The sequence below is a fragment of the Homo sapiens genome, chromosome 7 (genome assembly GCF_000001405.40).
Source record: "Homo sapiens chromosome 7, GRCh38.p14 Primary Assembly".
Classification (NCBI taxonomy): Eukaryota; Metazoa; Chordata; class Mammalia; order Primates; family Hominidae; genus Homo; species Homo sapiens.
The window spans coordinates 121319180-121342037 of record NC_000007.14 but is presented as its reverse complement, the minus strand read 5'-3'; the positions used below and the strand labels follow the sequence as shown (position 1 = coordinate 121342037).

Below are 22858 nucleotides of genomic sequence, written 5' to 3'. Positions count from 1 at the left end.
ATGCAGGCAATGTGGTTTAGACTAGATAGGAGCCTTTGGGTCCCAGAATTGTGTTCCCAGGAGCACCATGGTGCTTCCTCTACCATGACTGGGAGTGGGATGGAAATGGGCTAAGGGCAGGCTGTCAGCCAATAAGAGAGATAGATAGGTGATGGCCAGGCGCGGTAGCTCACACCTGTAATCCCAACACTTTGGGAGGCCGAGGTGGGTGGATCACTTGAGGTCAAGAGTTTGAGACCAGCCTGGCCAACATGGTGAAACTCCGTCTCTACCAAAAATACAAAAATTAGCTAGTCATGGTGGCACATGCCTGTAATCCCAGCTACTTGGGAGGCTGAAGCGGGAGAATCATTTGAACCCAGAAGGCAGATGTTGCAGTGAGCCGAGATCGGGTCACTGCACTCCAGCCTGGGCAACAGAGTGAGACTGTCTTAAAAAAAAAAAAAAAAAGTGAGAAACTTAAGGATGGCTTCCATGGTGATACCAAAGGTGAGAAGAAAAGAAGAACCCAAAGACACAGGTTTGGAGTTAGGAGGAGTTTTTGCTTAGGCATCCCAGAGAGAGGTGCCTGAGTTAGCATCACTGTTTTAAAGGAATGGCTGAACAGTAATCAAGTCTTTGTAAATTAGAGGCTGCCTGATTCTCACAGTCAGTTGATAAGGTAATTATGAAAGGTTTTCTAATTAATAGAAGAAATTGGTTGTTAATAGACACTACAGTCTTTCTGTTTTTTAAAAATGGGTGATTATGTTCAAAGAAGACAAAATAGATTTACTTTGAAAAAAATAGGCAGGAGAGAGTGTATATTTTCAGATTATTCTGTTCAAGGGATGCTAAAGACTGGAAAACCACTTTTAAATATGCACTATATTCATATATTTGCCATTTCTGTGTCTCTCATTTAGTAAATAATAACTTTGTCAAACTTTACAATCACAGTTAAATGCTTAGTCTTGATTTTAATATTAGATCTGAGACATTTTCCATGGGTTTGCTCTTTTTCAAAAATTGTTTCTCTGCCTCAGTGAATAAAATTAAAGAGAAATAGAATGAAGACTGTGGGGCAGGGAAACATTTCTTTATCTTATTAATAAGAAAATGAATATTCTCTTTGTCCATTCTGAATTTTAAAAATCTATTTTTTTCTATATAATACTGAAATATTTAACAATTCATAAAAAACATAAGCATTTACATTAAAATACATCCTTAAATAGAGCCCTGTAATTTTTACCAGGAACCTTGTAAAATATGATGAATATACATGCATGAATATTAAAAACAAGAAAGACCACTTAACATTCAAATAGAAATGCAGCATTACATAAAATATAATAAATATCCAGGATATCAAATCCACAAATTGATCACTATTCTGATTTAGATTCTTTTTTCCAGTTAAGACTTTTACTAATATAATTTATTATAATAACCTTATGAGTTAAGCATAACTAATGTGAAAAGAGAATTCAATTAATCTTACTGCTGAAATAACACAAATTTTTGATATTTTGCAACATATTTTAATCTATAACATATAAAACTGTCATTTTAGCAAGAAATACACATCCATATAACTAACTGCTAAGTTAAATTCTCTTCGATGTCCAAAAAAATAGCATTAATAGTATGAAAAAAAATAAGCTAATATTATTTATGAGATAATTTTACTGCCTTAGCTCTTAGGCTTTGTCAATAAATGTTTTAATATAAATCATATAACTTAAGTACTGTATTTACAAAATAGAAACTTTTTAAACAAAATTCTTTACAAAACACTGTCTTTACACATTTAAAGGGTGCTTTTCTTTACAATGTATGAAATTATATTTTTACCTCCACTGTTTACCTCTCCTTTTCCCGCATGTTTCAGGATCCTCCCCCCAGTATCTCAGAGGTGGGTTTTTAACAGTTGAAACTGATCTGTGATAAAAGTATGAATCTAAAGATCAAAGATTGCTATATACCTTATGGAGGTTTTTCCAGATTCTCCCAGTGAAAAGGCACTTAAAATCTAAATCATTCATTATACTTTTTACATATTGATTCTTTGTCACTAAACATCTGTAATGATCATTTTTTTAGGGATATTATATCACTTAAGAAGATTCTTTTTGATTACCTTTCTTTGGAAGTACATGAAAGGGTAAGTCAGCACCCAATGCTTATGTTAACTTTTCAACATCTTCTATCCACACACAAACAGTATAATTTCTTCAGTTAAAATACTGAGAGAATAAATGAGATTCATGTTAATGTCTCCTTATTGCTATAAGAGGTGTCTTTTAAAAATGACTAATGTTCACCCACCATTATTGAGTCCTGTAACTAAGTTCCATATTCAAGGATCTTATCCTGAGTATGGCAGGCCTCCTGGCATAAGGGATCTTTCCTGTTATTTCTTGCTTAGGAAACAGATTATCTTCCTTGTATGTCAATATATATTCCCCAAATCATCAAAAGGTGAATATAAACCTTTTCAACATTAGAATCCCAAGAAATCCACATGATTGATGGGTTGATCAGATAAAGGAAAATATGTCGATCAGGTAAGGGAAACTCTCAGGTCCAAGGTTCTAGGGATTCCACTGCAAGAGTCAACTTTACTAGCGCTGCACAGGGATGGGCACCTCTCTGGTTGCAATGCCATTGTATATTGCTGAGGCATCTTGCCCAAGGCTGGATGGAGTGGTTACTTGCAAGTGTGGACATCAGTCATGCTTTCACACCTCCTGCAACGGACATAGCAGCACCAGATGAACTTACACTCACACCTCTCCACGTGCCTGACCACATGGGTGTTGTAACCTCGGCCACAGCAGAGGAGGTTGCAGCCATCTGCACCCTCTGATGTACGGTTGCATTCTCTGCCTTGTGTCCCTGGGATTCCCAGTTTCTTATCTTCTACACAGTAGTTGGGAGACTTATTAACATAGAGCAGATCATCCTTATGGATTGGTATTTTCCTCTGATCTTTTTCTCTCCTGCGCATTTTCCTCTTTGTTTTGTCTGATATCTGGATACTGTTTTCATATTTATCCTTCAACAAATGGCCAATCTTTTCAAAAGAAGACATGGTTTTCCAGCATGTTTTCACAGCACAGGAGCCGGAAACTCCGTGGCAGCGGCAGTCTACTGACATCAACTTGGCGACAGCCTGAAACCAACAGTAATTGTGTTCAACTATCAATCATAAAGTGTTTTACTCAACAACAGAAGCACAGTTAATCTAATCAATTAACTTTCTGGGTCTATTTCCTCTTGAATAAAAATGATGGTTTTGAACGTAAATAATCTTTAAAATTGCGTAGGCTTCAAATGTTTCGTCCTTTGGTTTTTGTCCCAAATGTTTTGTCCAAATTTCTTGACCCTTCAGAGCAAAGCTTTCCAAGCTGTACTTAAAGTAGTGGACCAGACTAATATTATTGGAGATTATCTGCGATAACAAAAGGAAATTACTTCTATTTCTAATCCCCGGTCTAATTTTGAATGTGGTAGGATGCTTATGCATGCCTGTATGTTCCTGATACCATTCAACACCTCGTTACTCAGAATACAGCTCAGGGACCAGCAACACCAGCATCACTTGTGAGATATGCAGACTCTCAGGCCCCACTCCAGACCTACAGAACCAAAAGCTGCATTTTTAACAAGATTGTCATTAAAATTTGAGAAGCACTGAGAGAGAAGTTACCCTTAGCTCTCATGGTGCATAGAAACATCATGGAACTTTACAAATAACCAATGCTCAAACCTCTCAGATTCTGATTTCACTGGTCGGGCAGGGGGTGGGGTGTCCAGGCCATGGTACTTTCACAAAGCCGCTGAGATTATTTTAATGAGCATCCAGGGATGAGACGTATTGATTCAATTGAGAGTTCTCAAGTTTGATCACTATAAAAGTCAGTCACATACAAAGGGAGGGGTGGAGGTGGTGAACTATGCTATCCCCTGGTTCCAGGCCACATGAGAAACTATGACAAATCTGGTTTAGTTGGTCAAAAGGAGAAGGGGCTACAGTATGGTGGCTCCCCCCAGCAAATTCTCCTTTTCTGGAAAATTAATTCAAAACACATGCCCTATCCTTGATGAATCAGTAGCATTATCCTAGCATGGAAAATACAAAGGGGATAATGTTTATGTAATTTTTTCAATTCTAAGTGCTAAGTTCAGTTTAAACAGACTAAGAAGTTAAATGAAACTACATATATTTGTAATAGTCCACTGCCTGACACACACTAAGGTCTAAATAAAAGCCCCTTTCTCTGAAAAAGAAGGTACAGTTAGAGTTGAGATAAACATTTCCAGTAAGGCTAGGGGTGCAAAAACAATATAGAGATTTCAAAAGTTTAGGGCTCTAATCTCTTACATACCAGGCTAGCCAGCATAGCTTCCTTCAATCCCCAGACGATGGCAGAACAGATTAATAAATCGTCAGGGCTAGCTGTGGAGTTGACGTTCTGTCAACATGCTGGGTAAAATGAAAGATGGATCCATCCATTCAATAACTTGGAAATTATGTGTGTAATCTCACCAAAGAAAGGAAAAACCTCACAGTTTAAATTCCACTTACAATTCTTATGAAAACAATAAAATGACAGGGGTCTACACTTTGCTGTTTTGTACCAAACCTGACATTGACACGTTTGCAGAATGTTATGTTTTCAAACAAATTTTAAAAATGTCTGAACTATCTAATGAGACAATATTGCACACAAATAATAACATTTGCAACCTTAAATAAGAGCATATGGTATTGATTTATGCAATGCTTGATATTTCTTAGTAGTGCATATGGCACATTTGCTTTTTTTGAATTCACAAAACTAAGAAACTAATAGATGTATCTATTTCTTCTTAACCCAGGGCAAAAGGTGTCCTGCGATTATATGACAGCAATTTATAAAGTATGTCACAGAAGCTTATTTCTTTAAATTTATGGCATTTCATATTCACAAAACCCTCAATTCTTTAAAACATTTCCAGGCAAATAAATGTGATCTGCCTACTTTGTTCAAATTTTAAGCTCCCAAAGTTTACGAGAAAAAGCTCAATCAGTGCTGGGTAATAACAAAACATAACTGTCCAAAGAACACTAAAAACATAACAATGTATGTTTCCATGTTTAAGCTGATCAGCCTTCTTTACAGTCATCACTTAGTGACTTAAAGCTGTTTCTCCCCTGGATCATGACTGAGGAGCCGATTTTTTCTTTTATTAGTCACTTCAGACATCATGTAAGATGTTGCCAATTTGCACAGCATGAGGGACAAAGTAGACGCTCATCAAATACTTATTGAGTAATTGGTCCAGCTCACTTGAACACTTTTATCTCATCCTCTGTTGGTAAACTGAATCAAGAGGGAGTAATAAAAACCACCTTCTTAAACACATGTCACTGCTAAGAGGTTAATGGTATTGTTTTGAGCCGGCTGGGCTCTCTCTTTCAACTCCTCAGTTTTAGCCCCGTCCACAATAGTGTTACTCTATGAAAGTTATGCACTACAACACGATGAAGGATAAAAAGAGAGACTGATTTTCAAATTCAATTACATCACCTGCTGAATTTGTATTGAAATTATAGAAAGATTTCCCTCCTAGAAAATTAGCCCTTTTGAATACATACATGGAATTTATAATTTTTCAGTGATGACAATTTAAACTTTGAATTGTAAGTGTCCCTAACAATAAACATAATAAAAGAAATAATATCTTTATTATATATGATACATATTATTTTTGTATCCTCGAACATCTATAGAGGTATATACATATTCTTAGAATATCTATGGGCATATATACACACATATATATGCATATATATACTGTATTCTAGGACAGAAAGATAAATGAACTTCAAGGAAAAAAATATCAATAACCTGACCTGGAATTTCAAAGATTATACCCCCATAATATTCCAAGGAAAGAACTTGGACAATCTGGAATTAGAATAAAGCAGTGTAATCACCACTCAGGACTGATGAAATGCAAAATTCAAGGACAGATACACACACACACACACACACACACACACACACACACACACACACAAAGTTTAATTCTACAGAATTAGAATTCTGCTTCTCAGAGCATATTTTAATAAATATTTTACCTGATTTAGTTTTAGAGGAAGATATTTGTTGCACATAATAGCTAGTTAATAAGCAGGTACTTATGATTTCAATTTTACAGAAAAATAAAGTCTGATTAAGACGTTTATCTTACATAAGGAAAGCTGGTGATAAATAATATAAGGTATTTATATGCAGCAGGATAATTTTAGTAGAATAGGGAAAAATAAAAGTGGAAAATGCAAGTATATTTAAGGAAATTGCATGAACACTCCCCCAGAAAGTGTATTCTGGAGATTTTCCTCCAGGATTCTTAATTAATGTTAAATAGCCATTGTGAATTACAGCAATATCACCATAATTTTCTGTTAACAGGAACATAAGAGAATAGCAAAGGAATGAGTGCTGTGTGGTTATGAGAAAATTCCTTTCTCTACTCTAGTTGAGTTGTTAAGGTTTATAACGATATTAACAGAGGAATGTTTTGTTAACTATTGCAAACAGATGTGCACATTTTGGTGGAATATTTTTAAACTATGTCAGAGCAATCAGGAGGGTAGCATTTAATCTACTGGATTCCTTGTGTAAATTTTGGTTTGATAAATTTCTAATGAAGTGAAATAGGAAAGATGCATCATTAATACTTAATGTAAACATAGAAACCGCTTGAGAAGTGGTTTAAGAACTGATTGGTTCCACAATTTTGACTCAGAGGTAATGTGGCAGTTGGCGATTGTTTTTCAGTAAATTACGTTGTCCGAATTTTACAAAAATGGCCAGAAAATTGTTGTGGAACGTTTTGTGACTAACATTTCATTTTCTCAACTATCAGATGATCTAAGTTTTTATAAAAACTGCGACACGAGGTTGGATGGGTGTATGTAGGATTCCTGTTCCTCTGACCCGTTTTGTCCCTTTCTGTCCAAAAATATATTCGAACCTACTGAAAAGCAAAACACTATGTGTTGTTCAACTACTTATAAATATTCTTGGAATAGGTCAATGAAAATTTGGGATTGAGCCCTTCCCACTTTGTTGAGTTACTCATCATAAAACAAATTATGGGGTAGGGAAACTTAAAAGTTTGTGAGGTGGACATGGGAAGAATGGAAATATTTTAAGCACACCAAAAGAAATACCCATAAATATTCCAAGTCACATTATTCCCAGAAGTTCTGCCCCTGGAAGACATCACATCATTCCGTTAGCCAATCATCATTCGGCAACATTATTCTTGGAGTCATAAGTTTAGGAATGGTGTCAGAAACCAAGTGGGAATCAGAGTATTTAAGGTTAGCGGTTAGAAAATCATCTATCCTGCTCACAGTACTACTAAGCGCCAGTACCCACATTTCTCTGAACACTTTCCTACATTTTGAGTTTGTGATTTTGAGGCTAAGAAAATCAACTCAATTGAATACAGACCTGGATTTTATTCAGAAGAATATGCCTATTAGATTAAAATCCTAATTGCCAATGTTGAAAAAATTGAGTTGATTGCTCATCCATGTTAGATAATAACCAGGAAACCTCTTTTATGGTGTTGTTGGTTTTGTTTTTGTTTTTGTTTTTTTGCCAGCAACAGAAAGAAAAATACAAAACTCTGTTGAATTATAATACCTCAAGAGAAAATAAAAACAACAACAAAAACACCAGCATAGTACCTACCAAATAACCAGGAAAATGTTTTCTAATATTTTAAGATTTCATCTAAATGTGAAACAATGTGAACCAAAAATGAACAATGTGAAAAAAATGATTCAGGAGAGAAAACTCAGAGATTTACACAAAATGTACATATATGCATAAATTGAATTGTTTTCAAGCTAGTTAGAATAATAGCAAGAACCTAGGTAATGTTAGAAAATTATTTTTTGCCAATAAAAATGGATTTAAATTAATGGTGAATAGGAAGTATGTTTTTAATAAAATCAGGATATAAATAATAGTTTAAGATTAGCATTAACAGTTACAGAGAGGAACATTACTACCTAATTTGAAAAACACACAATATAAAATAAAACCAAATAGCTGCCGAATGTTACTAATAAAAATATATTTTAGAATGCTTTAGGGTTTTTTGTAAGTCCCAAGATGATTTTATTTAAGAGAATCAATCATAACGTGAGTTTTTGTGTTCTGAATTTCTAGTTTATTAAAAATCTCTACCAAATTTACTTAAAGAATGGCCAAAGAAGATTTAAGGTCTGTTGATAACAAACACTCGTTTATTTGTTTTCTTGTTTTAAAAATATATTAATTTGAATAATCTTATCTCTAGGTTTAACTCTAGAGTTTTAAGAACATATCCTAATTACATTTAACCTTTTCAAAATTAATATGCTAGAAATAATAAAAATTCCCTTATTGGATAATATTTAAATTGAAGCAACATCTCAGTCATTTATTTTTTTAAATGTAAAACCTTAAGAGGCATGTGCATGACTATGGTGTTGGGCAAGAGTTATTCTAGTGAAATAAAATAACTTTTACAATTTTATAAACAAAAATACAAAAAGCTTACATAGCTATTTACTGACATTCCTACTTTCTATTTTGCTATTTTGAATTAAATATTTAAATTGAATTAAAATTAAAATTTGAATTTGAAGTGTTACAGTGATATATTTACCGACTTTTCTGTTTTTGTATTTTAAATGGACAAAGTAAAGAAAACTGGGAGTAACTTGTAACTATTCTAAATGCGTTCCATTTATTCATTTTCCAAAAATGGAAAACAAACGCAACATATACTTTTAAGATTACTAAGAGATATTGCAATTTGTTTTATTTATTTCAAAAGAATGTGACAGATTGCAATGATTACTTTGGGACCTTTATAAGTTATTGAATATTTACAAGAATATATGATATGTGCTAATATTTCTGTCCTGAAAAAGTTTATTACAACATAGAAAATATATATTCATATAAAAGATTTAGACTTTTTTAGAAAAGTCACTATGAATTGCCAACTAAGTCAACTATGTTGTAGAATTCAAACTTTGTTGTGTCAATATTCACTAATGTGAATATGTATAAGTCAAATTTAGCTACAAGAATGATGCATTTTAAGAAAACAGTATAAAAATGTAGAATTCATAAAGGATGGTAATTACATAGCAATTCTTCAAATGTACCACCTCTGTATCTTTAAGATACTGATATTTTAAAATATCTATAGATTTAATATACCTATAGCTTCTTTATGCTTAGGAGTATTTATGAATTTTAAAAATTAACCTACATTGCTTTATAATAAAATAACTATTTCCCTAAAAAAACTTTCCTTTACAAAAAATATTAGTTAAGGGCACATATTACCAAAGAAGGTTTGCTAGAAAAAGGTAAGTACAAAACTGACAACATGTTTAGGAGCCATTGCCCACTAAAAAGTCGATTTAAAAAAATATCATAAAAATTCAAATTGGGGGAAATGAAATTTGACTCAGTTCTATTAGAAAGGCAGATACTGTAGACCCTATTCTGACTCCACGACTAAGCGGGTAGAACCAATGAACCCTACAGGCATTGTGCATCTATTATATTATATCAAAGTTTTAGATATACACAGTATACAACCACAAACACATGCTATAACACGGTTTAACTCATATCAGTTAGAGAACCAAAATTGTGGTTAGTATATATTCATGAAAGGGTATATACATATTTGTATAATACACATTTGTAATATATGTGCAAATGTGTATACACACACACACACACGTATATTTATTCTAATCAAAGCCTCCTATTCATCCTCTTACCAGAGAAGGAATTTTTCAATTGCTTACCATGGATGCTTTAACGCATACATATTTAGAAAGGATAATTTTCTATTGCTGTAGTCTTTTAAAAACAATATTAATTTTCAGGATCCCACTTGAGGGCTGCCAGTGTTTGGTTTTTAAGTCATTTGGACAGTTTCATGCAGATGTGTAATCCTAGTTATTTACCTAACAGCACTGGGTTTTGATTATTCCATTTTCTAATACATACCTGCCTTCCAGCTTCATTGTTATGTAGGTTCATTGCTAATAGTACTTTGTTTTCTTTGCCCGTGGTGTTTCCGATGGGGAAATCTAGGAACTTTCTGCTGAACCACATGCCATACTGGACATCATCGGAGCAGCCCCCCCAGTGCCAGCCTTCACTTGCTGAGCCGCCGTTCTGCAAGGTGGTGTCACAGGAACACTCTGTCATGTTGCCTGCACTGCATGACCTGGTCACAGAATGCACCAGGCCTGCAGCCATCACAGCATAAATAAATGCTGTCTCTTTGGTGCCTAGAAAAAATATAAATTGCTAAATTAGAGAACCAGGCAACTTCTGTTTATGTTCAGAAGAAAGCCTCCTACTCATGATCTTACTGGACAAGTAATTTTTCAGTTGCTTACAATGGATGCGTTAACGAGTACATATTTAGAAAGGAAGATTTGCTCTTGTTCTAGTCTCTTAAAAAGCAACATTAATTTTCAGTATTCCACTTGAAGAGATTGTCATATACTGTATGGTCATACATTGTCCCTTTACCTTAAAATCATCTCTTTATTTTTTAAATTTGAAATGTATGTTTGCACCCAGTTCAGTGCACAGTTGACAGTCATAGCTCAGTAATACATGCTGAATTAAAAATTCTTTGCATAGATACTGTAAACGGTAATACAACACCCAAAGAACACTAGATTGCTTTTCTTTTGAAATTTAAAATGTGCTCTCACAGAACACAAGCTGAACATTTTGGTGTGATTTTTGTTTGCATAAATAATACGTGTCAGAATGAAAATTAAAATTAAGGAAAGACCAAAGCAATTAGTAAACGGTACCGTATATTTTCACATTAAAGATTAGTCTCACATTAACATGAAACAGTTAAACATTTTATATAGTATTAGCTACTCCTCTTACAGTCTTAAAGGCAATGAAAGGTAAGATAATTAAAATGTCACTAGCAAAAACATAATTCTATTAAAAATATTGAATATTGAAAATTATGCATTTAGCACACCTGCAGTAGAGTTTGAGCTAAAATCTTTGAAAATTAAAGTCCATTAAAACATTAATAACATGGACTAGAAGGGAATCAGCAGGCGACTTTTTTTTTTTCTTTCCAGATGTTTAGTTTGGAGTAGAAACAGTTTCATGCCCGCTGTCCAATAAACCTTTTCAACAGCTGATGCATTTCAGCAACTGTGAAAAACACATCTATTTTTTTTCTTTCTGTCTCTTTTTTTTTTTTTTTTTTTTTTCTCTCTACGGGGACCAGGGCTCCTTCGGAAGGGCGTGCCGGCCAGAACGCCGCGGGGGAGGTGCGCGGCTCGGCGGGGGTGCGCGCAGGGACTGCGTGGACAAGGGTCAAAGGCGGAGGGGGAACGGAAATGAACATGAAAAACGACAGCGCATCCTTCAGCGCCCCAGTCCTAACATTCTTTGGATCTGTTGATATTCCAGGAACAATCCTGGCTCCCTGTACCTTTATCCTTACCAAGTCACTACGCACGTGGAAGTGGAACTTTGTTTTCCTGCAGCTTCCCGCGCCGCGGGAGTGCGCCGAGGAGGGAAAGATAGAAAAGCCAAAGAAACGAGAAGCGCACAAGTGGTCCTGCTCAGGTTAGCCGCACGTTGGGTGGTCGCGGACAGTCGCTTTAAAAGTCACCATTATTCTGTCAACTCGGTGCTCCTAGGAGCCAATAAAGGTGGGGCTTCGCTGCAATTAGCCACTTGTCCGGGGTTTGGTGCGCAGCGGAGTTGGTTAAATCAAAGCAGATGCGGCAGCCGCATTCCCCGCTGCCGACATCATGTTTCTCCAGCTGGTCACCCACGTAGGGGGGCGCTACGGGGTCCGAGGGGGTCGGCGGGGTAGGAGAATTAGAGTTTTTTTTCCAACTCTGGCGGGGCACCGCAGGAAAGAGGAAGAGCTCCAGCCCCTAGAGCTCCGCTCTGGAACTGGGGAGTCACCTCCCTCCAGGCTCGCACCTGCTCCCCAGGTCTGGCCTTTGTAGCTCTCAATCCCCGTGCACTAAAGGGCTTCTTCTGGAACTTAGAGAGCTACAGGACCACGTAGCACTATTTACTTTATTTGCAGGAACCGGTGGAGGAGTTGTCGCCTTCCGTCCCCCACCAACCCCTAAGGACCCAGGACTCACCGCTGCTCAGCTCGTAGCCAAAGAGGGGGCTGGCGCCCATCGGGGCGGTAGTGGCGGCGGCGGTGATCATGCAGTTCCATCTCTCGTGTCTGAACTGGCTCCCGCACTCCTGAATGCCCAGCCGGGCGCCCTCTCGGATGCTCGGCAGCAGGTACGGTTTCCTCTTGCACAGCTCCTTCTGGCGGCTGTTCAGCGGCAAATTGGCGCAGCCCAGCTTCTCTGGAACCCCGAAGGAGGCAATGCCCAACCACCTGTAAGACACGGCCGCCCGTAGCGTTAAGCCGCTCCCCAATTCCAGATGTTTTCCGAAAAATTAGGTCACTCGTCTAAGGGTCCCCGCCCTTCTCCCCCAGCCTCAGTTGAAAGTTCCCTAGGATTGGGCACCCCTTTTGCCACCTACCCGATGCTTCCCTGCCACCTCCATACTCACATCCAGTTTCCTTGGGCTCCGTAGGGGAACAGCACGAGCAGGGCTGCCCACAGCGCGCACAAGCGGGCCAGTCCCAGGAGCGCCGCCCTGTCCATCGCCCCCGCATGGAGTCCCCCAGCCCAGCCGCTCCTCTTTTGCACCCCCTCCCCAGAGGCCCTTCGGGCCGCAGGTCAGTTGTCCAGCACCAAGTTATCCCTCGCCCTCTTCCTCCTTGCATACAACATTAAAAGGCCAGCAGTGATAGGGACTCTCAGCAGCTTCCCCCTCGTTTGCAGGGAGCTGTAGGAGAGATGGAGAGAGCAGCCTGGGGATCTCCTCCTGCGCAGGGGTGGAGATGTGCAGGAGATGCGGGAGCGCCCCTCGCATTCCTAGGTGAGAAACTTCTGTTGATGTATCCGCGTCTCCATCGCCCCCGGCCTCTCCTCCCATCTCCTCCCCCTGGCCGCGCCTGGAGCCTGATTGGCTGAGCAGCGGCCCCGCATCTCATCATCTCGGGACCTCAGGCTCTTATTGGTGGAGAGCGGCTCCGCGGGGGGCGCTCCGGGCACTGGCCTCAGGGACAGCGTGTCCAGACCTGGGTGTGTCATGACCTTTCCTGCTGTCACAGTCTCCTTAGAACGGGTCGTTGTGGGGTTGATTCAACCCGAAGACTAACAGGACGCTCTGTCTTAGCAACCTTGGGGGAAAGCGTGGGTTTGATGAGTCCCACCCATCCCACCAACATCTGGGTTACCCTCTGGGTGTAGTGGCTGGAAAATGTCACTGACCTTTTTTTCTTCTCCTTCACCTCACAGGAGAATAATCTTTTTGAGTCAGAGTTGGTACCGAACAAATTAACCTTCCAGTCCCCTGCTTGAGGTCCCACTGTCAGGAGACTTTAGAGAGTGGGTGAAGTGCTGTCAGGCTTACAATCACTGTCATTTATGTATGCATTTATTTTGAGCGAAAGAGAAGATTCCAGTCTAGCATCTCATCTGCCATATTTCAATCGTGCTCTGTGATTTCCTTTTCCCTATTTGTCTTATTTCCTGCAGTCCCTGAGAACGCTGTAAGTCCCCTGCAGAAGATGGGGACAAAGAAAGTGAGAGGTTTCTGGAGAGTTCTAGAGTACATGAGAGATGTGCTCTGATCTTTTTCTCCAGTCCTACCTTACGATTCTCATGGTGGGAGGGTCCCTGCCCTTCTCCCCCAACCTCAGTTGAAAGTTCGCTAGGATTGGGCACCCCTTTGCCACCTACCCGATGCGTCCCTGCAGGACAGGGCTACACATGGAAGACACATTTTTAAAAACGTACTTATTAAATACCTGCTGTGTGCCTAGTCCTGTGGGAATTTATAAAGACAAGCTCTCTTCCCACAACTGTACAAATAAACCATACACAAGTGTAAAAGAAAATACGTTTAGATGATCAGTAAGAGAGATTAAAGAATCTAGCAGGGTACTCCCTGGAGCCGAAGATAGTTCAGAAGCAGGAAGTGTTCCAGTTACTGGCAGATTTGGAAGGTTAGTTAATCAGTGTTTTGTAGGATGGAAGGTCTCCGAGAGTTATCTGAAGGCAAGTGCAACGTGTTTAGCTGTGGTATTGGGAAAGCCTGCCTCACCTAATTAGACACAAGAAATGTTTCTAAGAAGCATTATCTGTCCTTAGAGATCTTTTGAAGTGTTAATACATTCCCATGGTGGACGTATCAGCTCAGTGGGTACCCAAAGCCAAAATTACTTAAATAAAGGATTTGGGGCCAGGTGCAGTGGCTCACACCTGTAATCCCAGCACTTTTGGAGGCCAAGATGGGCGGATCACCAGAGGTCAGGAGTTCAAGACCAGCATGGCCAACATGGTGAAACCCTGTCCCTGCTAAAAATACAAAATTATTTGGGTGTGGTGGTGCATGCCTGTAATCCCAGCTACTCGGGAGGCTAAGACAGGAGAATTGCTTGAACCTAGGAGGTGGAGGTTGCAGTGAGTTGAGATAGCGCCACTGCACTCCAGCCTATGGCACACAGTGAGACTCCGACTCAAAAAAAAAAAAAAAAAAAGGATTAGATAGCATTAGCTGCTTATCTCCTATATCAATCAGTGAGCAATAAAAGCTCACTGAAATTTTCATCCTATCCCATTCACTCCCTTATCCAACAAATGTTTATTGAGTGTACACTATGTACCAGGTTCTAAAGCCACATTTTAAAGAGTCGAGGAGTCAAGTTGATGATAGGATGTAGATACTGATCCAGAAATATTTTGGCTAACGGCTAGTGGCCTCTCTGAAAGTCAGAGCCTTCATCCAAGCTCACTTTATTCTGTGAGCTTCTCCAAGAGGGACAATGGCGGATTCATTGCTGTACCCCTGCCATTGGGCCTAGTACATAAGATCCTGTTTTTGAACAAAATTTATTGAGTGAATTAACAATGAGGAACATCCTGAGTGGATATGTAAGAGGCCTAAATGCTGGAACTACAGTTTTTACTTCATTTCAAGGGGAATTGGAAGTGGGGAGGCAATCTCCGGGTTGGGGGTGCTGGACAATATCCATACCTTAGGCTGATTTTAGGGCCAACGGTGGTAGATGTTTTAAAGAGGTGTTTGATTTTTTAAAAAATCAAAAACATATATTGAGTCTCTGTTATGGGTTAGAAAGTGGGGATAGCACTTACTCAAATGATCATGGAATTCACAGTCTACTTGGCAAGACAGACAAGGGAGCATGCAGCTATAATACGTGCAATAAATGTACAAAGTAGAGTGTGCTGTGAACACACAAAGGAAGATTACTTATTTCAGTCTTGGGGATCAGAGTGGGGAGGAGACACTTGAATGTTACCTTCATTATTATTCTGGGAATCTAGCACCATCTACGCATCCAGATAAAGCCTTTGGGGTGCACTCAGAGGGTATTCTGTCCTGAGAGTCAGAGACCACTGTGTCAAACATTTTCAAACACAAGACACAATTTTAGGGCGTGAGTGGTCTTGCATCTCTTTTGTATGGGCTAGAGCCTTAGGGGTCATTCTGTCCATATCTCCAAAACAAAGGAGACATATTTCTAGGAGCTGACCCAGCTGAGGAAGCAGATTTTTCATTCAGTGAACAGATATTTGAATGATAATTTTGTTCCAGGCATTGTGAACTTTCATGTTCTGAGAGCTGCCATACACTCCCAAATCCCTCTTACTGTCTTTATTTGTCTCTCTGTCTCTGTCTCATTCTCCATCTTTCTCTATACAAAATTGATACTCACTTTACAGATGAGGAAATTAATTTGGGGAGATTAAGAAACTTGCTCGAGGTTACTCAAAAACAATCAACCTTTAGAGGCCCCTCCTTTTTTTTTTTTTTTTTTTTTTTTTTTGAGATGAGGTATCATTCTATTGCCCAGGTTGGAGTGTAGTGGCTCTATCATGACTCACTGCAGCCTCAACTCCCAGGCACAAGCGATCCTCACCCTCAGCCTCCTGAGTAGCTGGGACTACAAGTGTGCACCGTTATATTCAGCTGTATTTTTTATTTTGTGTAGAGACAGGGGTCTCACTATGTTGCCCAGACTGGTCTCAAATTCCTGGCTCAAACAATCCTCCTGCCTCAGCCTCCCAAACTGCTGGGATTATAGGCATGATCCATGGCACCTGGCCAAGACCCTGTTTTTTTCACTACAACATACTTCTGCATGCCTAATTCAAAACATATATATAGTGTGTGTGTATAGAGAGAGATATGTTAGGTGTTATATATATATATATGTAAAATTTTTTTTCCCTGATCAAATCCCCAAATCTTAAAACTCAGATTACCGTGTCTTTGGGTCAAAATTTTTTACTGGTGTCTATGGTTCCTTACGTCACAATTCACAGATCTCTCCATTGAAACATTGAAAAAGTTGTTTTGTTCTCCAAAAATAAACAAAACCCACCATAGGGAGGTCTTTTGAGAAGCCCCTGTGAAGAGGGTCTCCCTGAGGCAAGTGGTGAGCTGCATGGGTGCCTTTCCATCTTTCTGGCTTTGCCCTCTGTGGTTTTTGCAGGCTGAGAGGGGCAGTGGAAAGAGCACTGGGTTGGGTTGGGTAACCGGGGCTCCTGTCAGCAGGTGATGATCGTGGACTACTCATTTCAACTTTGAGTCTCAGTTTTTTCATTTGCAAAATTATCAAAATTTCTTTTTCAGATCTGAATCTCTTACTGGAGCTACCATAGGGCTGGAGGGAGGAGAGTGGTACGTGTGTGTGTGTGTGTGTGTGTGTGTGTGTGTGTGTGTGTGTGTGCGCGCGCGCACATGGTGGGGAGGGGGAAACTGCATTTGCTGGGGGACTGCAGGAGGAGGAAACCTTAGCCATTGACAGGAACTTGTCTACCTGAAAGATGGTTCAGTCCCCAAGGTGGCATAAGCCAGGGTTTTTTGGCGCCCATCTTGTCTTAATATCTCCAGCTTCACTTTTGCTTCTGGATTTCAAGGAAAATGAATCTATTTTAATTGCAGAAGTCATTTAAAATGGTTGAATTTTAAAATATAATCTTGTCAGATCACATGAAATTTTATTTGGAGAATATAAGAAGTTACAGATATTTTATCCTGACATATGAAGTTGAGGAGCTCTTTCATAATCGAATTTATGTCTATTAATATAAAGCATTCAACTCTACTCTCATCGGAGGGGATTATGCTATTTAGACTTGATGAATGAAGTAAAAGATCAATTCCAAACATGTATACAACTGCACATTTTAAATTATTGATTTCTTTCTCAGCAAGCAGGAGCTTAATTTCCTATTTATTATATTTTGATTGAAGAGACGACAAAATATTCACTGACCAGTAGAATGTGAGACCTAAAGTTTACTGTACTGTATAAACTTTTTAAGCTTCTAGTGTCCATATGCATAAAATGTTGTAAAGATCATATCATTAATCATTTAATAAACACATAAATGAGAGCTAATATTATGTCATTTCATGATCTGAGCCCAGCTGCCTAGATTTTGACTAGTGATGTTAAGAAAATCACCATATGACTGCAAGTTTGCATTGGTTACTCAAGCACCTGTAGTCTCTGGAGTCCACATAGAGGGCATACACTTAAACTCTTTTTCCTAGCTGGAGGTAAGGTGCTCTGAGCTGTATTCTGGGAAAAGGAATTAGGGAGGGGAGAGCCAGATTTCAAGCATACTCATTTCACTCAAAAGAGCTCTCTCAAGATGCTGAATCTGTGACTGTTATCATCTCCAATCCGCTGAGCCAACTGAACCAGATAAGTAGCTAGACAGCAATAAATCCCATCTTCCGCCCAAGACAGTTGTAGATTTCTAGTTGTAGAATACAGGGGAGCCTCTTCCTTCTGATAGTTTTCTCTCAGTCCCTGGGAAACTCAGCAAAAAAAGTCTGCCTGCAGAGATATGCCTTGGACTCTGCCTCTGGCAGCCCATCAGAGGACGAGACTTCTAAGGGCCCTGTTGTAAGAATTTCTGCTGCAGATCACAGAGACTTATGTGCTGGAAACTGATACCAGAAGCACCCCAGCTGGTCTTAACTCCCATGATAGAACAGAAGACCAGAGGTGACTTTTTACATAACTGGGTCCCCATCCATTCTATTTTAAATTCCACCTGGATGCTACAAGTGTGGAACAGAGCACAGGCTTGTGACCACTGGCTCTTAGGAGGGGGTGGAGAATGGCATTCTGGATAGCCTGCTGTCCTTTAGTGGCCAGAAAAACCCGCAGGAATGACAGACTTGGAGGAACAGAGGAGACACCAGCGATAGTCCCAGGAGAAAGAGCAGGAGTTGGAAAGGGATGATGCTTTGCTTTTTAAATTTCCACAACCACAGAAGTTAAAAGTTTTTTGTTTACTCATCCTAGCAATTAAGGTTGAAGAAGGCTTGTAAAGTGTCAGTAGAAAGTGACTTATCTCTTACCAGCATTTCCCCAGCAATCCTTAAAAAACTTAAAATAAAAAACAGGGTACCTCAAGATTTTTTTAAGTGGTATTTTGTAGGAATTATGCAATTTTTTTGGAATAAGGGAATAAAAGTAAAAACATTCCTTGACAAATAAGAGTGGTCACTTCATTCAGAGGGTAAAAGTAAATAAAATGCACAAAACTGGAATATATTGATAGTTTTGATTCTTTAAATACTTTTTCCCAGTAATTTTTTCCAAATAAAGCAACTTCATTAATGAATGATTTTAATGTTTTAATGTTGTCAGGAAAATTAAGAATCTGGCATTTACATTGTTTAAAGTAATATTTATGGAGTAATCACTAGGCTGCCTATAATGGAAAAAACAAATTTGCCCTTCTTGAGGGATTTTCCTAAGATAGAATAATTAAAACTTCAAGGGGGCCAGGCGTGGTGGCTCACACCTGTAATCCCTTACTTTGGGAGGCTGAGGCAGGAGGATCACTTGAGCCCAGGAGTTTGAGACCAGCCTGTGCAACATAGGGAGACCCCATCTCAACAAATAATTTAAAAATTAGCTGGGTGTGTTGGTGTGCACCTCTGGTCTCAGCTACTTAGAAGGATGAGGCAGGAAGATTGCCTGAGCCCTGGATGTTGAGGCAGCAGAGAGTCATGTTAGCACCATTGCATTCCAGCCTGGGTGATAGAGTGAGACCCAATCTCAAAAACAAACAACTTCAAGAGAAAAGCCATTTAAAATTGACTGCATCTATCCTATTCTATCCGTTGGTCTGCATAATTATAGTTAACGTCATGTCATAAATGTCTTTCAGTCAACAAATGCCTGTCAAAAGTAAACAATTGCTGACACTGCTTTTGTATCCAAGGTCATTTTTCGAATGTCTAACCTTTGGTTACTGTCCTCATTATTAGTGGGAGCAAGTTGAAATGGAGGCTTTTAAGTCTGGCCAAGCAACAAATGCCATTTGGTGTTTACTTATATCTCATTGTTCACATTTAAACTTGACCTTAATATTTTCACTTTCCTCCCTAAAATCTTTAATAATTTATTTACTCCTATATCAGTTTTAAACCCTTTGGTTTGACTTCTAAAATCCTTTATTCAGGATTTGTCCATAACTGTCATTTCTGATTAAATTCACTCTATATCCTTGTACTCATTCTTCCTAAGCAAGACACCTTCTGTCTTCCCTTTTCCATAAGCAGGACCTGCATATTTGTCTTTCAGTTTCTTGAGAAACACTGCGTCTATGCCTAGAAATTTCTTTTCTCTCCTTCCACTTACTCAAACCTATCTACCCATTTTCTAGGTCATACCACTTTTGGAGTTAACCATGTTAACGTCTCTCTCTGCCCAATTCCTATATTACCTGAGGTCCCTACCATAATACTTATCACTTAATTTACTTTTGCTAATGGTCTAACGTACCTTAGTTGTCAGTCACCAATTAGATTATAAAACATCTTTTTTAAAATTATACTTTAAGTTCTGGGATACGTGTGCAGAATGGGCAGGTTTGTTACATAGGTATACACGTGCCAGGGTAGTTTGCTGCACCCATCAACCCATCATCTACATTGGGTATTTCTCCTAATGCTATCCCTCCCCTAACCCCCAAACCCCCATGACATACCCCCTGGTGTATGATGTTCCCCTCCCTGTGTCCATGTGTCTCATTGTTCAATTCCCACTTATGAATGAGAACATGCAGTGTTTGATTTTCTGTTCTTGTGTTAGTTTGCTGAGAATGATGGTTTCCAGCTTCATCCATGTCCCTGCAAAGGACATGAACTCATCCTTTTCTTATGGCTGCATAGTACTTCATAGTGTATATGTGCCACATTTTCTTTATCCAGTCTATCATTGATGGGCATTTGGGTTGGTTCCAAGTCTTTGCTATTGTGAACAGTGCAGCAAAAAACATACGTGTGCATGCATGTGTCTTAACAGTAGAATGATTTATAATCCTTTAGGTATATACCCAGTAATGGGATTGCTGGGTCAAATGGTATTTCTGGTTCTAGATCCTTGAAGGAATTGCCACACTGTCTTCCGCAATGGTTGAACTAATTTACATTCCCACCAACACTGTAAAAGCATTCCTATTTCTCCACATCCTCTCCAGCATCTGTTGTTTCCTGACTCTTTAATGATCTCTATTCTAACTGGTGTGAGATGGTATCTTTCATGCGCGTCCGTGTGAAGAGACCACCAAACAGGCTTTGTGTGAGCAATATGGCTGTTTATTTCACCTGGGTGCAGGCGGGCTGAGTCCAAAAAGAGAGTCAGGAAGGGAGATAGGGATGGGGCCCTTTTATAGGATTTGGGAAGGTAATGGAAAATTACAGTCAAAGGCGGTTGTTCTCTGGTGGGCAGGGGTGGATCTCACAAAGTACATTCTCAAGGGTGGGGAGAATTACAAAGAACCTTCTTAAGGGTGGGGGAGATTACAAAGTACATTGATCAGTTAGGGTGGGGCAGGAACAAATCACAATGGTGGAATGTCATCAGTTAAGGCTGTTTTTACTTCTTTGTGGATCTTCAGTTACTTTAGGCCATCTGGATGTATACATGCAAGTCACAGGGGATGCGATGGCCTGGCCTGGGCTCAGAGGCCTGACATTCCTGCCTTCTTATATTAATAAGACAAGTAAAACAAAATAGTGTTGAAGTGTTGGGGCGGCGAAAATTTTTGGGGGGTGGTATGGAGAGAGAATGGGTGATATTTCCAAGGGCTGCTTCAAGCAGGATTAGGGGCGGCATGGGAACCTAGAGTGGGAGAGATTAAGCTGAAGGGAGGTCTTGTGGCAAGGGGTGATATTGTGGGATTGTTAGAAGAAACATTTATCATATAGAATGATTGGTGATGGCCTGGATACGGTTTTGGATGAATTGAGAAACTAAATGGAATAACAGAAGGAGAAAAACAGGTATAAAAGGTCTAAGAATTGGGACGACTCAGGATATCTGATTAGAGAGTGCCTAAGGAGATTCAGCATAGTCCTGCCAGCAAAGATTATTTATTTACTTCAAGAGTTAAGAGTGGCAGTTTGGGGATAGCGCCAGGAGATATCAGCTGTGATGGCTTGGAAAAACAGTGTAAACCGGCAGTGTAAACAAGAGCAGGGCATGTATGAGTAGTTGAGAACGGTGAATAGGAGTATGACTAGACTGAAGATAGTAGGGATGACAAGTTTTTTTGGGCACAGTCTAAGTTGGTCTGGTGTCTGGAATGAGACTGGGGCCTAATAAAAAGGAGCGTCTATACAGGAGCTTAAATGGGCTGTACCCTGTAGCATTCCAAAGACAGGCCTGAATTCTGAGAAGGGAAAGTGGTAAAAGTATTGTCCAGTCCTTTTTAAGTTGGTGGCTGAGCTTGGTGAGGTGTGTTTTTAAAAGACCTTTAGTCCATTCTACTTTTCTTGAAGACGGAGGACCATAAGGGATATAAAGGTTTCACTGAATACTAAGAGCCTGAAAAACTGCTTGGCTGATTTTACTAATAAAGGCTCACCTGTTATCAGACTGTATTGAGGTGGGAAGGCTAAACTGAGGAATTATGTCTGACAGAAGGGAAGAAATGACTGCGGTGGCCTTCTCAGACCCTATAGGAAAGGCCTCTACCTATCCAGTGAAAGTGTCTACCTAGACTAAGAGGTATTTTAGTTATCTGACTCAGGGCATGTTGAGTAAAGCTAATTTGCCAGTCCTGGGCGGGGCAAATCCTCGAGCTTGATGTGTAGGGAAGGGAGGGGGGCCTGAATAATCCCTGAGGAGTAGTAGAATAGCAGATGGAACACTGAGAAGTTATTTCCTTGAGGATAGATTTCCACAATGGAAAGGAAATGAGAGGTTCTAAGAGGCGAGTTAGTGGCTTGTACTATAGCATAACCTGCCTTTGCTGGTGTGTGGTGATTAGGCCTGGTGGAACCGCCATCAATAAATCAAGCGTGATCAGGGTGAGGAACAGGAAAGAAGGAAATTTGGGGAAATGGGGTGAATGTCAGGTGGATCAGAGAGATACAGTAATGGGGGTCAGGTGTGGTATCAGGAATAATGTGAGAGGCCGGATTGAAGTCTGGGCCAGGAACAACGGTAATTGTGGGAGACTCAACAAAGAGTGAGTATACCTGAAGGAGCCGGGAAGCAGAAAGCATATGCGTCAGGTATGAGGAAGAAAATAGATTTTGGAAGTTATGAGAACTGTAGAGAGTGAGTTGAGCATAGTTTGTGATTTTGAGGGCCTCTAAAAGTATTAAAGCAGTGGCAGCCACTGCATGCAGACATGAGGGCTAGG

At 39.5% G+C, this 22858-nt stretch overlaps 1 protein-coding gene across 2 annotated transcripts; it reads right to left on the bottom strand.

Annotated features, from left to right (window-relative positions):
- WNT16 (Wnt family member 16) lies at positions 934-16671 on the bottom strand. 2 transcript variants are annotated; one of them, NM_016087.2, is made up of 4 exons: positions 16558-16671; positions 12221-12471; positions 10074-10360; positions 934-3157 (listed from the first exon to the last, which is right to left on the bottom strand). In NM_016087.2, the coding sequence occupies exons 1-4, from the start codon at positions 16620-16622 to the stop codon at positions 2693-2695; spliced, it is 1068 nt and encodes a 355-aa protein (NP_057171.2). In that variant the 5' UTR covers positions 16623-16671; the 3' UTR covers positions 934-2692. The 2 variants fall into 2 exon arrangements, with proteins under 2 accessions (NP_057171.2, NP_476509.1); NM_057168.2 differs by lacking the exon at positions 16558-16671 and adding an exon at positions 12651-13038.

Bases quoted from the DNA above. Each gene is read 5' to 3' on its own strand.
- WNT16 (NM_057168.2), bottom strand. From the start codon at position 12,745: ATGGACAGGGCGGCGCTCCTGGGACTGGCCCGCTTGTGCGCGCTGTGG. The intron at 12,472-12,650 runs GTGAGTATGGAG...CGTGTCTTACAG, and splicing joins GGAGCCCAAGGAAACTGGAT to GTGGTTGGGCATTGCCTCCT. The intron at 10,361-12,220 runs GTGAGTCCTGGG...TATTTTTTCTAG, and splicing joins TGGCTACGAGCTGAGCAGCG to GCACCAAAGAGACAGCATTT.